Here is a 13,806-nt window from a genome sequence, read left to right on the forward strand (position 1 = left end):
GGAGATTCTGACAACCCCTTTCTTAAGAAGAGTGAGGGAAAGTAATTTTGTTTTTTCACAAATAACAAAAATATTTGTATATTCGTATATAAGAGTTTACAAAGCATTTCCATCTATATGCGATCTCATTTAATCACAAGACTTTGCAAAGAAGACAGGCAGATAATGTCAGCATGTTTTGTAAAGGAAGAAAGCAAATTTGGAGGGTAAATGACAGATCGTTACACAACTGGCAAGTGGCATGGATAAGACTAGAGTTCACTTTTTTAGATTCCTAGGCCAGGAGTTTTCGTTGCACTTCACTGCTAAAGATGTGTGAATTTTCTTTTTTTTTTTTTTTTTTTTTTTTGAGACGGAGTCTCGCTCTGTTGCTCAGGCTGGAGTGCAGTGGCCCAATCTCACCTCACTACAACCTCCGCCTCCCGGGTTCAGGTGATTCACCTGCCTCAGCCTCCCAAGTAGCTGGGACTATAGGCGTCTGCCACCATGCCCGGCTAATTTTTTGTATTTTTAGTAGAGATGAGGTTTCACTATGTTGGCCAGGCTGGTCTCGAACTCCTGATCTCATGATCCACCCGCCTCAGCCTCCCAAAGTGCTGGGATTACAGGCGTGAGCCACAGTACCTGGCCAGATGTGTGAATTTTCTTAATGGTATAATGGCCTGTCAAATGTCTCACTTTTGAATCCACTGGCTTTGTCTTAGTATAACTTGACCAAAAGAGTAAAAATCATTAATTCTGTACATGCATATTGCAGGTTCCAGTAAAACATAACATTCTAAATTAAATAATTGAAATATTTTACTTCTGTTGTCACTACAAGTAGCCTAAAGGAGTGGTGGTTAACCCCGGTGCTCTACTATCACAAAGGACCACAGCATCAGAACTAAGTGCCTGTCCTGCTCCAACACTACCAGGACCAGTTCCATCTCACCTACTGATAAGACACAGCCTTTCTTCTCATTCCTTATCACCTGAATTCTTATCTCTACAGTGCTGTTTATCCCTTAATCTGACCCAATCCCCTACTCATTCTCTCCTCAAACCTCTCCACTCTCCTGGAACTTCCTCTATGTGATCAGGAAACTATCATACAGCTACCAATCTTCTCTGAACGAAAATTCTCTTCCCTCGTCACTTTCTTGGCTGATCCCTCCGGATACTACTTTTCTGCTAGTCCTCTCTCAGTTTATTATCATATACTCCATTTACATCAGGGTCAGAGGATAACTACAGTATTTTCCTTGCTCTTCACTGCCACTTTCAGATGGTTATTTCCCCCTCACTCTTAGCAACTCCATGCTTTTCTGGGGCTCCTACCATCCAGCAATACCATTCTCTCCTTCCTTTTTATTGTTATCTATTAGTCACCTGGTCATTCACTCACCTCACTATTCTCTAAGTCTTTGACATCCACATAAATGATGCAATCCAAACCTCAAGTCTCAGGCTGATCTCTTCATCAATGACCTTTTTAACTCTACTTAATCCATCACTCCCATTATTACACCCTGAGTCTTACTAATCAGAAACAGAACTACCATTGACCAAATATCCCATTCTTCAAACGTAAGTTCTTACCCTTCGAACTTTTCTTATACCTGGTACATCTATATCAATAGGGTTTGTTTGTTTGTTTTTTCTGAGACAGAGTTTTGCTCTTGTTGCCCTGGTTGGAGTGCAGTGGTGTAACCTTGCCTCACTGCAACCTCCACCTCCCAGATTCAAGCAATTCTCCTGCCTCAGCCTCCCGAGTAGCTGGGATTAAAGGCGCGTGCCACCACACCCAGCTAATTTTTTGTATTTTTAGTAGAGACGGGGTTTCATCATGTTGGCCAGGCTGGTCTCAAACTACTGACCTCAGGTGATCAACCCGCCTCAGCCTCCCAAAGTGCAGGGATTATAGGCGTGAGACACCACGCCCAGCCATCAATAGGTTTTCAACCTCACTGAGACCATTCTGTTGACTCCCATCATTCTCTTTCTTTATTAACACCCCTTCCTCTCTTCACATCCTTCATGTCTAGTTCATGTTTCAGAGCTCATCTTGATCATAGTGCTTTTGTCAAGATCTGTAACTCTTCTGTCCCTCTCTCTTTGTGCATGTCTATTAAAACCTCAAACCTGTATGAACCATGAACCTATTTCATCAGCTTTCTCTGTGCTTATACCTAAACAGCTGAACATTGGTGAGGCAAAATCACACAATTAGGCATACTGTTTTCAATTTAAATACATCACCTCCAACTTCAAAAAGACATTCAACATTGCTCAGCACACTTAGGTTTTCCTCTACTAAGCTTGCATATCTGCACTGAGATGTCTATTTCATGCCTATTTCTCTCCTGAAACTTCCTAATCTTCCATCCATTCTCCTCACTACCAGCTATAAACCTTGCCTCATTAGGCCATCAGACTGCAGCCCTCTCAACTTTCCATCTCAAAAAACCAATAGCACTTTCTGCATCTCCACCCCTCTTCTTCTGGCCTAGGCTGAGTTATATCATGTCCTCCTCTACCCAGGAAGATTCTTTCTGATGGTCCAACTTACCTCTGATTTTAAGTCTTGAAGCTGTCGATATGGGAGTGGGCCAGGGAAGTACTGGGTAGAGAAAGGCGGGTCCCTGGCTAGGGCTTCAGCCTCGGGCCTATGCCCATGAACCTAGGTGAGGACAGGCACTCCTGCCTTTGCACCCAAATGTTGCATCTTCCAAGACCACCCTGGCCTGCCACGCCACCATCCTGTGCCTACAAAAACCCGAGATCCTAAAAAGGCAGAGGCATAAGTGGCTGGACGTCATGAGGACCACATCGGCAGAAGACGACACAAGCAGCTGGTCATCAAGAGCACGCCGGTGGAAGAGCATGTCAACAGGCACCAGCAGGCCAGCAGGCCACTGACCAGAGGAACAATGCGGAGTTTGGCCAGAGCAGTGAGAAATCAGGTTGCGGCCCGACTCCAGGGTAAAACCGTCTCCCTTCTGGCTCCCCCATCTGCTGAGAGCTACTTCTACTCAATAAAACCTTGCATTCATTCTCCAAGCCCACGTGTGATCCAATTCTTCCAGTACACCAAGGCAAGAAACCCTGGGATACAGAAATCCCTCTGTTCTGTCCTTGTGATAAGGAAGGGGGTCTAACTGAGCTGGGTAACACGAACCGCCTATAGACGGCAAACTAAAAGAGCACTCTGTAACACACCCCCACTGGGGCTTCAGCTGTAAACATTCACCCCTAGACACTGCCGTGGGGTCAGAGCCCCACAGCCTGCCCATCTGTATGCTCCCCTAGAGGTTTGAGCAGGGGAGCACTGAAGAAGTGAGCCACATCCCCATCACCTGCCCTTCAAGGGGGACAAGGGAACCTTTCCCGTTTTACTGTCAACTTCCTACTCTCTACCAACAAATTTAACTGCATTCATAACCATCTTCTCCCCGTATGTTACACTGAAAGTATTCTTTTTATCTAATCCTTTAATCTGTGCTCTCCATTCCATCTTAATCTGCTTCTTCAGGGACTTTGCTCCATCAATTACCACAATCTCAATCTTTCTCTCTTTCCCCCTGCCTCCTCCTTTCTTTTCTCTTTACTATTTCCTTCAAGTCTTTCTTAAACCAAAAAAAAAAAAAAAAAAGATTTTCCTTTGACCCCCATGCTTTTTTCTTTTCATTCTAAGAGTTGTTGCTACTCACTTAACCCTTCCTCAACTCTTACTCATTCCTGATCCACTGCAATCCAGCTTCTGCTTATCACTCAAGTGAAATGGCACTTTTAGCAAGGTCTTCAAAAGTTTTCTTTTTGACAAATTCAATGGATATTTTTCTTTTTCTTTTTTTTTTTGAGACAGAGTTTTGCTCTTGTTGACCAGGCTGGAGTGCAATGGTGCGACCTCGGCTCACTGCAACCTCCGCCTCCCGGGTTCAAGCGATTCTCCCGTCTCAGCTTCCTGAGTAGCTGGGATTACAGGCATCCGCCACTATGCCTAGATAATTTTTTGTATTTTTAGTAGAGACGGGGTTTCACCATGTTGGCCACGCTGGTCTCAAACTCCTGACCTCAGGTGATCCGCCCGCCTCGGCCTCCCAAAGTGTTGGGATTACAGGCGTGAGCCACTGCGCCTGGCCAATATTTTTTAGCACTATGTTAACTAATAACTCTGTATCATTTTCTAGTAACTACAGAAGACCTCTTTTCTTGCTTTCTGTGACAACACAGTCTCCTGACTGCTCTGACAGTATAGATTTCATATCTCTTTAGTTTCCTAAATTGCTCTGATGAAAGTATCAATAAGCAGTGTAAGTCTGGAAGGCAGGAAGCAGAAGGAACAAAGTAAAACAAGGGACAAGAATAACTGCTGGCCTGTGGAGAATCAAATGCTAACTCAAAGAATCAGACTCTGTGAGGGAGAACAGTCCACAAATCATCATTAAACTTCACTTTACAGATGAGGAAACTTAGTTTAGTTTCTATGCAATCCGTAGCAAAAGTTCTAAAAACCATATAATCTGGCCATTCATGCCATAACCATAAAGGCTAAAATATGGGTCCCCTGCTGCTACCATCTTTCCAATTTGCCCTACTTCGCTCAGGTAACAAATGAACTCTACTTATCATGTTTCTGTCTTCACTGTGGAATATATATGCATATAGGCAACTGCCCTATTGCTATCCATTTTAGTACTGAGTAAAATGTGTAGTCAAAATCTACTAGAGTCAGCAAGCAGTAAACATAAAGCACATTTCTTTAAGCTCTATTAAAATATTTTTAATAATCTACGTTATACATGGCAAAGAGAAATATTTATATAATTTAAACATTTTTATCTGATGTGCAAGCATGTCTAAATATGAGCCTGGTAACTAGACCTGACTAAAGTTGCCCCTGCATTATTGGTTCTTTAAAATTGTCCTTACAACAGTATTAGGAAGCAGCTTGGTGCATATATGACATAAACTTGCCCTAGATTTCATAAAGTATTAAGTTTTATTTTAAACACTGATTTTCAGTGATATGGGTAAGTGATTTAATCTCACATTTTCCTTTGAATTGAGTTAGTAATCATCTTTATCAGTTAACCCACTCCCAGGGATGTTGTAAAGGAACCAGGTTATATTTCTAAGTGTCCTGGACTTCTTTTGAGAAAGGTTACTGTGACAGGCAACCTTACTGACTTCTGGCATTAGACTCAAACAGGCAGTCAGATAGCAGAAGGATATTCAAGCAAGCAGAAAGAAAAAGGCTTATATTGTATATGTTATTTCAAACAAAGATACTCAGATAAAGGCAAAGAATAGTCTAGTTTTAAAAAAATAAAACAGCAAAGTAACTCAAAGAAAAGAAGCTAGATATTAGAAAATAACCTTAAGTAAGAGGAAGAGGTTGTTGAGACAGCTTAGCAGAGACAAAAGGCACTGAAGAACAGAGTCATCCATATTCCCACACTGTAAGATAAGGCAGATAAAAAGCCAATTAAACTACGTACAGAATTTTTTTTTTTTTTTTTTTTTTTTTTTGAGATGGAGTCTCACTCTGTCGCCAGGCTGGACTGCAGTGGCGCAATCTCAGCTCACTGCAACCTCCACCTCCCGGGTTCAAGCGATTCTCCTGCCTCAGCCTCCCGAGTAGCTGGGACTACAGGCGCATGCCACTACGCCCAGCTAATTTTTGTATTTTTAGTAGAGATGGGGTTTCACCATGTTGCCCAGGCTGGTCTCGATCTCTTGACCTCGTGATCCGCCCGCCTCAGCCTCTCAAAGTGCTGGGATTACAGGCATGAGCCACCATGCCCAGTTATGTAGATTTTTTAAAGAAATAATATAGGGAAGATAAGTTGGCTGGCTTGTCTAACCAGCAATGACAAATGATTTGGTTTTCTATAAAATTTTTTTCTACTGAACATATGCTTGTGTAAAGTGTATTATTAACATTGTTCACCTCAAATTCCCTTTCCTTACCTGAAGCCACCATGTTGTCCTTTCTTTAGCATGCTGTTTACTCTATATTTGCTGTTAATGTTATTCTAAATAAGTCAGCATGATAAAAGCCATATGAAGAGAGAGATTTCTTATACAAAAGCTTTATGAAAAGCTTTATTTCTTACAGAGAATAGCTTATGCTCTGGAAACTTTATATTGTTAGCAAAGGAATAACTGAGACTATTCCCAAATTTACATTCTATGCCATGAGCCTGGGTTTTTAGTTTCTTTCATAGGTATGGCTTCAGTGTACAATGAATACTGTGGTGAATGATATGCAGACAGTCTATGTTTTGGACATCTGCTCTGCCACTGCGGCAAACAATGAATCATTAACTTGCTTTTTGTGCAAAGTTTATAGTGCCAGATTCTGTTCTAGATTTCACTGATTATTGCATTATTTAACAAAGGTTAATTAAATTACACTTCACAAGGAAACAAAATAAAAACTGTGTTAAAAGAGCCACTAACACCTAAACTATTTCAAATTTTCCATATTTCTCATTTTTGAAAATTGCCTAGGATAACGCTGGCTGAGATCAGTTCTGTAATACTGACAAAGGCAATTGTTCTGGAAATGTATAGATGCCAAGACAAACAGCACATAGTCATCAAAAATTGGAAACTGTGATAAAGTATATGTTTAGTTATATGACACTATGTCATATAACTAGAACATTAAAAACAATCTTGAAATTCTTGTATAGTTGAAATTATAAAATAAATTATGAAAATGTAATACATATAATAGCTTTAGCTATTTATTCTATTAAATCAAAATAATGAAGGTAAGAAGGCAGTTACCTAAAAATAAATAGTATCAAAAATAAATACCTTTAGTTGATTGTTAAAAGAATCCATTTCTGACAGCTTAGATGCAGTTTCTTTTTCAAGAGCATCTAACTGTTCTTTAAGTCTTTGGCATAATTCTTCCTTTTCTAATGATTTTTTATGAAGTAAACTGACCCCTGAATCTGAAAAACAAACATCAGACAGTTTACATTTTGCAGAAGTTCGTATGTCATTACCAGCATGTCATTTACTGTTTGGTCAGATTGATGTAACTAGACCAATACGAAGGATGTATACACAATGCAGACCAGTACAAGAGAAAACATTCAGTTGTTATTTCCACTTCCCAGATTATATGCTGGAAAGAGCATCAGAGGAAATGGTTGTAAGCCTTGGTTCTGCATTCAAAAGGACTAGGACCTGAAGTGAAATTCTACTTTAGGAAAGATGCTTCACCAATCGAATCCTCAGGCTTTTCATCTATACAATGAGCATCATGCTACATTAAATGAGGTGATGGATATAAAGCCATTGTACACTCTGGTCCACAGTTAATACTCAATTAATAGAAACTATAGTTAAAGTAGCTTTCCATTTATTCTTAGTGCTCCCAAGAACAGGGAAATATTCACAGCAAAGATTCAGTAAGTATTACTAACTGGATTATTTAGTAACATTATTTTAGGAGGTAAGAACAGAAGGTTTCATTTTATATTATCTTTTTTTACATATTCATGCAGGGATGAAGAAACCAGATGGAAATATATAATGCAGAATACATTACAATAAATTAAAATAGCAATATTATCTGTTTAAATGTCTGTTTTTAACTTTATCATATTTTTGAAGTACAGAAGTACAAAATTTAAATAAAATGAAACATACAGAGTAAAAAATTAAAACACCTCCATTTCAACTGCAAGTTCATCCCCCTTTTAGGCATTTACATTTAGATGTGTACATACTCAACTTTTATTTCCATGGGTTTTAACAGAATCATATTGTCTACATTGCTATGCAACTTGTTTTCAATTTAGTAAGATATCTTATCAATCAGGACAAACAGATCTAGTTCATTCTTTTAAATTGCTCCATAGTAGTTTACATTATGGCTACTGCATAATTTATATAACTACCTTTCTGACTGGTATGGGTAGATGTTGGTCTGAACCCACTGATCAACATCTACCCATTTTCCCCTCCCTCTAACCCCTGGTAACCACTCTTCTACTCTCAGTTTCTGTACAGGAGTTCAACTTTTTTAGATTTTATATGAAACTGAGGTCATGCAGTATTTGTCTTTCTGTAACTGACTTACTGCATTTAGCATAAGGGAGCGCAAATATCTCTTTGAGACAGTAATTTTGTTTCCTTTGAATATATATTCAGAAGTGAGATTGCTGGATCATACAAGAGTTCTATCTTATTTTTTTTAGAAACCTTCATACTGTTTTCCTTAACAACTATACCAATTTACATTCCTCCAACAGTGTACATGGGTTCCCTTGTTCCCACATGCTCACTACCACTCGTTATCTCTGATCTTTTTGATAACAGCCATCCTACCAGGTGTGAGGTGATATTATATTTCAATGTGGTTTAGATTTGCATTTCCCTGATGATTAATAATGTTGAGTCCCTTTTTAAATATCTCTTTACCATTTTTAGGTCTTCTTTGGAGAAATGTCCACTCAGGTCCTTTGCCCATTTTGAAATTGGGTTGTTTTTTGGTATTGAGTTATATATATTCCTTGTATTTTGGATATAAACCACTTATCAGATACATGGCTCACAAGTATTTTCTCCCATTCCACAGACTGCCTTTTCATCTTGATTGTTTCCTTTACTGTGCAGAAACTTTTTAGTTTGATGAAGTCCCACTTGTTTATTTTTGTTTCCTGAGCTTTTGGTGTAATATCCAAAAAATCACTGCCAAGGCCAATGTCAAAGAGCTTTTGTCAATGTTTTCTTCTAGGAGTTTTACGGTTTCATGTCTTATGTTTAATCCATTTTGAGCTGATTTTTGAGTATGGTATAAGGCTCCAATTTCATTCTTTTGCAGGTGGATATCCAGTTTTCCCAATACCATTTATCGAAGAGGCTACCTTTTCCCATTGTGTCTTCTTGATACCCTTGTCAAAAATTAGTTGACCATATACACTTGGGTTTATTTTTGGGCTCTCTATTCTATTTCATAAGTCTGTATGTCTTGTAATTGACAAAAAATTGTATATATATTGTATGCATGTTGTTTTAAAATATGTATACATTGTAAATTGGCTAAGGAGCTAATTAACATATGCATAATTTAGCTAATTAACATAATGTGTATGTTAATTAGCTAGGCTCTCTATTCTGTAAATCTATGTCTTTTGTAATCAACAAATAAAAACTTGTATTTATAGTACGCATGTTGTTTTGAAATATGTATACATTGTAAAATGGCTAAATTCAGCTAATTAACCTCACATACTTACCTCACATACTTACCATTTTTGTGGTGAAAACACTTAAAATCTATTCTCTTAGCAACTTTAAAGAATACAATGCACTATTATTAACTATAGTCACCAGGTTGTACAATAGATTTCTTGAACTTATTCCTCCTATCTAACTGAAATGTTGATTTCCTTTGAGCAAACTCTCAGTGATCCCCTTTTCTCTCACCAGCCCTGGTAGCCACCATTTTATTCTCTACTTTTATGGATAAATATATACACTCCACAAATAAATGAAATCATACCGTATTTGTCTTTCTGCGCTTGGCTTACTTCACTTAATGTAACATCTTGCAGGTTCATGTTGTCCCTATGTCTGTTTTTATGCCAGTACCACACTGTTCTGATTACTATAGCTTCATAATATTTGCAAACAGGCAGTGTGATGCTTCCAACTTTGTTTTTCTTTCTCAAGATTGCTTTGGCTATTTGAAGTCTTCTGTGATTCCATATACGTTTTAAAATTGCTTTTTCTATTTCTGTGAAAATGCTATTTGAATTCTGATATTGTGTTGAATCTGTATATTGCTTTGGGTAGTACAGATAATTTTTAAAATATTAATTCTTCCAATACATGAACATGGAGTATCTTTCCATTTATTTATGTCTTTTTCAATTTCTCCCATCAATTAGTTTTCAGTTACAGATCTTTCCCCTCCTTGGTCAAATTTATTCCTAAGTATTTAATTATTTTTGATGCTGTCATGAATAATATTGTTTACTTGATCTCTTTTTTGAATAGTTATTGGTGTAAAAAATGCAACTGATTTTTGTATGCTGATTTTGTGTCCTACAACTTTACTCAATTCATGTATTAGTTCTAAGTTTTATTGCAGTCTTTAGGGTTTTCAACATATAGGATCATGTCATCTGCAGACAGGGATAATTTTACTACTACTTTTACAATTTGAATGTATTTTATTCCTTTTTCTTGTCTGAGTAGTCCTGCTAGTACTTCCAGCATTACGTTGAACAGAAGTGGTAAAAAGTGCGTATCCCTACCTCATACCAGATCTTAGATCAAGCTTATCCAACCTGCAGGCCATGGGCCACATGCGGCCCAGGATGGCTTTCAATGTGGCCCAACACAAATTCATAAACTTTCTTAAAACATTATGAGATTTTTTTTAGCACTCATCAGCTATCATCAGTGTTAGTGGATTTTATGTGTGGCCCAAGACAACTCTTCTTCCAATGTGACCCAGGGAAGCCATAAGATTAGACACCCCGATCTTAGATGAAAAGTCTTCAGTTTACCCCCATTGATTATGATAGCTGTGAGCTTTTCATAAATGGCCTTTATTATGTTGAAGAAAATTCCTTCTATATCTATTTTTTTTGAGAGTTTTTATCATGAAAAGATGTTAAACCTTGTCAAATACTCGTTCTGTTATTTATGGAGATGATCACGTGGCTCGTAGATTTTTGTCTTTCATTCTGTTAATGCACACTTTAAATTCTGACAGAAATTGCCAAACTACTATTCCAAAAAAGCTGTTATCAACTTATGCCACCAACAATACCTGTTTCTGCAAACCCTCATCTATATTGGATATTATCAATCTTTTTTCATTTTTGCTAATTGGCAAAAAAGAAACCTGATTGTTATTTTAATTTGTATTTTCTTGATAACCAGTGATGTCAAAGAAACATCTATTTATGTTTCTGGCCAGAGTCTTGAATTGTTAGGTCTTATCCTTTGCCGTATTTTTCTATTGGGCTGTCTTAATTTTTGATTTGTAGAAGCTCTAAATTCTTGTATTACATGTACTTCAAATTTTTTAGTGTTTATGCTGTCTTTCATTATGATGTTTTCATTTTTAATCATCAAATCTGTAAGTATTTTCTTCATGACTCTATGTATTGTTTAAAGAGACCTTCCTCATACCAAGATTATAAAATATTTTCCTGTTTTATAATAGTTTTTAAGTTGTTTTTATGTTTAGCCTCCTAATTTATCTAGAATTTATTTCTGTACATAGAGAGCGGTAAAGAGCTCCTCTGCAACTCTTTCAGATAATCCACTGTCCCTCAAATCACTTACTGAAAGCCCATCCTTTCCCCACTGATGTTAAGTGCCAACTTTATCTTATCCTACGTTGCCATACATGCATGGGCTTTCTTCTAGACTCTATTCAATTCCATTGTTCTACTTTTCTATTTCTGATCAATAACACACTATTTTAGGCACTCTAACTTTCATATCTTATGTTTCGATATCTGATAGGGTTAGTCTCCTCCCCCCTACCAAAGTTTTTCTTTTTCAAGTTTTGCCTAATCTTGTACAATTTATTTTCTAGATGAATTTGTCAGTTATCTTCCCAAGTTTCATTTTAAGAAACCCAAAAAGAACTGAATATATAAATTAGGAGAGAACTGACATAGTATTGATGTATAGTATAGTATAATATTAAGCTAGTTCATTTAGGAACATAAAATGTCTCTAATTATTCAGGAATCTTTTTTTTTTATTTTGTTTTGAGACAGAGTCTCACTCTATTACCCAGGCTGGAGTGCAGTGGCACCATCTCGGCCCACTGCAACCTCTGCCTCCCACGTTCAAGCAATTCTCATGCTTCAACCTTCCGAGTAGCTGAGACCACAGATGCGTGCCACTACCCCTACTGATTTTTGTATTTTTAGCAGTGATGGGGTTTCACCGCATTGGCCAGGCTGGTCTCAAACTCCTGGCTTCAAGTGATCTGCCCACCTCAGCACCCTAAAGTGCTGGGATTACAGGCATGAGCCACAGTGTCCAGCCTATTCAGGAATCTTTCACGTCTATTAGCGAAGTGTTATAGCTGCATATTTCTTCTTCTTCCTTTTTTTTTTTTTTTTTTTGAGACGGAGTCTCGCTCTGTCACCAGGCTGGAGGGCAGCGGTGCGATCTCAGCTCACTGCAGCCTCTGCCTCCCAGGTTCAAGTGATTCTCCTGCCTCAGCCTCCTGAGTAGCTGGGACTACAGGCGTGCGCCACCATGCCCAGCTAATTTTTGTATTTTTAGTAGAGATGGCGTATCACCATGTTGGCCAGGATGATCTCGATCTCTTGACCTCGTGATCCGCCTGCCTTGGCCTCCCAAAGTGCTAGGATTGCAGGCATGAGCCACTGCACCCGGCCCATATTTCTGCTTTATTCATAACAATGTATATTACTAATAATGCATGTTTTAATACCAAATTTGATGACATATATGAGCACTATGTTGGGTAACTGGAAAATAAGACAAAGAAACAACATGGTAGTACAGTGGGCTTTACAGTTAGACATGAATTTGAGTACTATGATTGTACCATCCTGGGTAACTACTTAATCTCTCTGAACCTCAGTTTTCCTGAGCTCACAATGGGAATAATAACTATACCAAAGGGTTATTGTAAAGATTAAAGGAAAGAATGCATCAAAACTGACTCACACAGTGCTTGGCACATGGCTGGTAATCTTAAATGGCAATTGTTATACAGAGAGGCATCTAAGGGATACAGGGTACTTTTCAAAGCCCAAACAAAAGCTTCCTATTTTGAATTGGACTATGGCTAAATAAATAAATAGGTAACAGCTGCACTGAATTACATTCCACAGAGAAAGAATAGCCCCATCACGTCCTCAATAAGACATATTCTACATTTTATTCACAATTCAAATAGGAACAATGACAACAATGATGACAATAATAAAGATATATTTCTGCCACTGTGCATATCAGGTGGGTTAGCTCACCCTGACTCTGGAATGCCTGTGTAGGGGTGAGGTGGGGGCTAATATACTTTGAACAGGAAAGAACCAAGTATAAGGAACACTGTCTGAGCAGGGACATGGATAGACCACATCAATGGAAGGCAGGAGACACAATAAAAATAGTTCACAAGAGTGAACTTCATTTCTGATATTTCTTCCACGTGAAGGGCCCTGCACTAGCCCAACAATCCCAGCTTCTTTCCTTCCTTTCACTAACTAGTGAGCTCAAGTTAAAGACCTAGGAATGTACAGCCTAGGCTCCTCCTAAGCCCTCACTCTCTAGAGACTTAACTGCCCACAGGAAACCTGCATTCTACTTTGTTCATGCATCCAGTGCTTTATAGGTGCAACTATACCACCCACAGATAAACCACACTGCCTAGAATCAGCTTCATCAATAATGAGGCAGTGATTTGGTTTCTCATTTGTCTTGCTCCTTTGCCTTATTTCTTAATTTGTTCAGAACTTGCGCAAAGAAGGGGATACTATTTATTGAACTTTGTAAACAGCCAAAACTATAATAAAGAGACCTACAATGGAATAATTGACTTGATAGAGACTCAATGAGTGACATTTTAGGATACTTTAGTCAGTTGTAACACAACATCTGCAGATTTACTTTTCTTTAAATAAACCTTGTTTCTGCTATGCTTTTATTGGTATAGTATCCAATACAGAGAATTTTTTTCAGTTTTCTCATTGGGACCTGAGCAAAAACAAAAACAGTTACTATCCCATAAATTATCCTGGAATGTTTTGTTCCACAGGTGTCAGAGGGCCAAGATGGTAAAATTCTTTGTAT

The 13,806-nt window shown here is 38.2% G+C and overlaps 1 protein-coding gene across 27 annotated transcripts in view; it reads right to left on the bottom strand.

Annotated features, from left to right (window-relative positions):
- ITSN2 (intersectin 2) overlaps window positions 1-13,806 on the bottom strand; it is a 158,505-nt gene that overhangs the window by 76,538 nt on the left and 68,161 nt on the right. For 14 of the 27 annotated variants that reach the window (XM_047444582.1, XM_024452933.2, NM_006277.3 and 11 more), the window contains 2 exons: window positions 6,811-6,950; window positions 5,362-5,442 (listed from right to left, as the gene is read on the bottom strand). In XM_047444582.1, coding sequence (XP_047300538.1) covers window positions 5,362-5,442; window positions 6,811-6,950 — 221 coding nt within the window. The remainder of the gene's footprint in view (window positions 1-5,361; window positions 5,443-6,810; window positions 6,951-13,806) is intronic. The other 13 variants (XM_047444586.1, NM_001348182.2, NM_019595.4 and 10 more) reach the window with 1 other exon arrangement.

Source organism: Homo sapiens, chromosome 2, assembly GCF_000001405.40.
Source record: "Homo sapiens chromosome 2, GRCh38.p14 Primary Assembly".
Taxonomy (NCBI): Eukaryota; Metazoa; Chordata; class Mammalia; order Primates; family Hominidae; genus Homo; species Homo sapiens.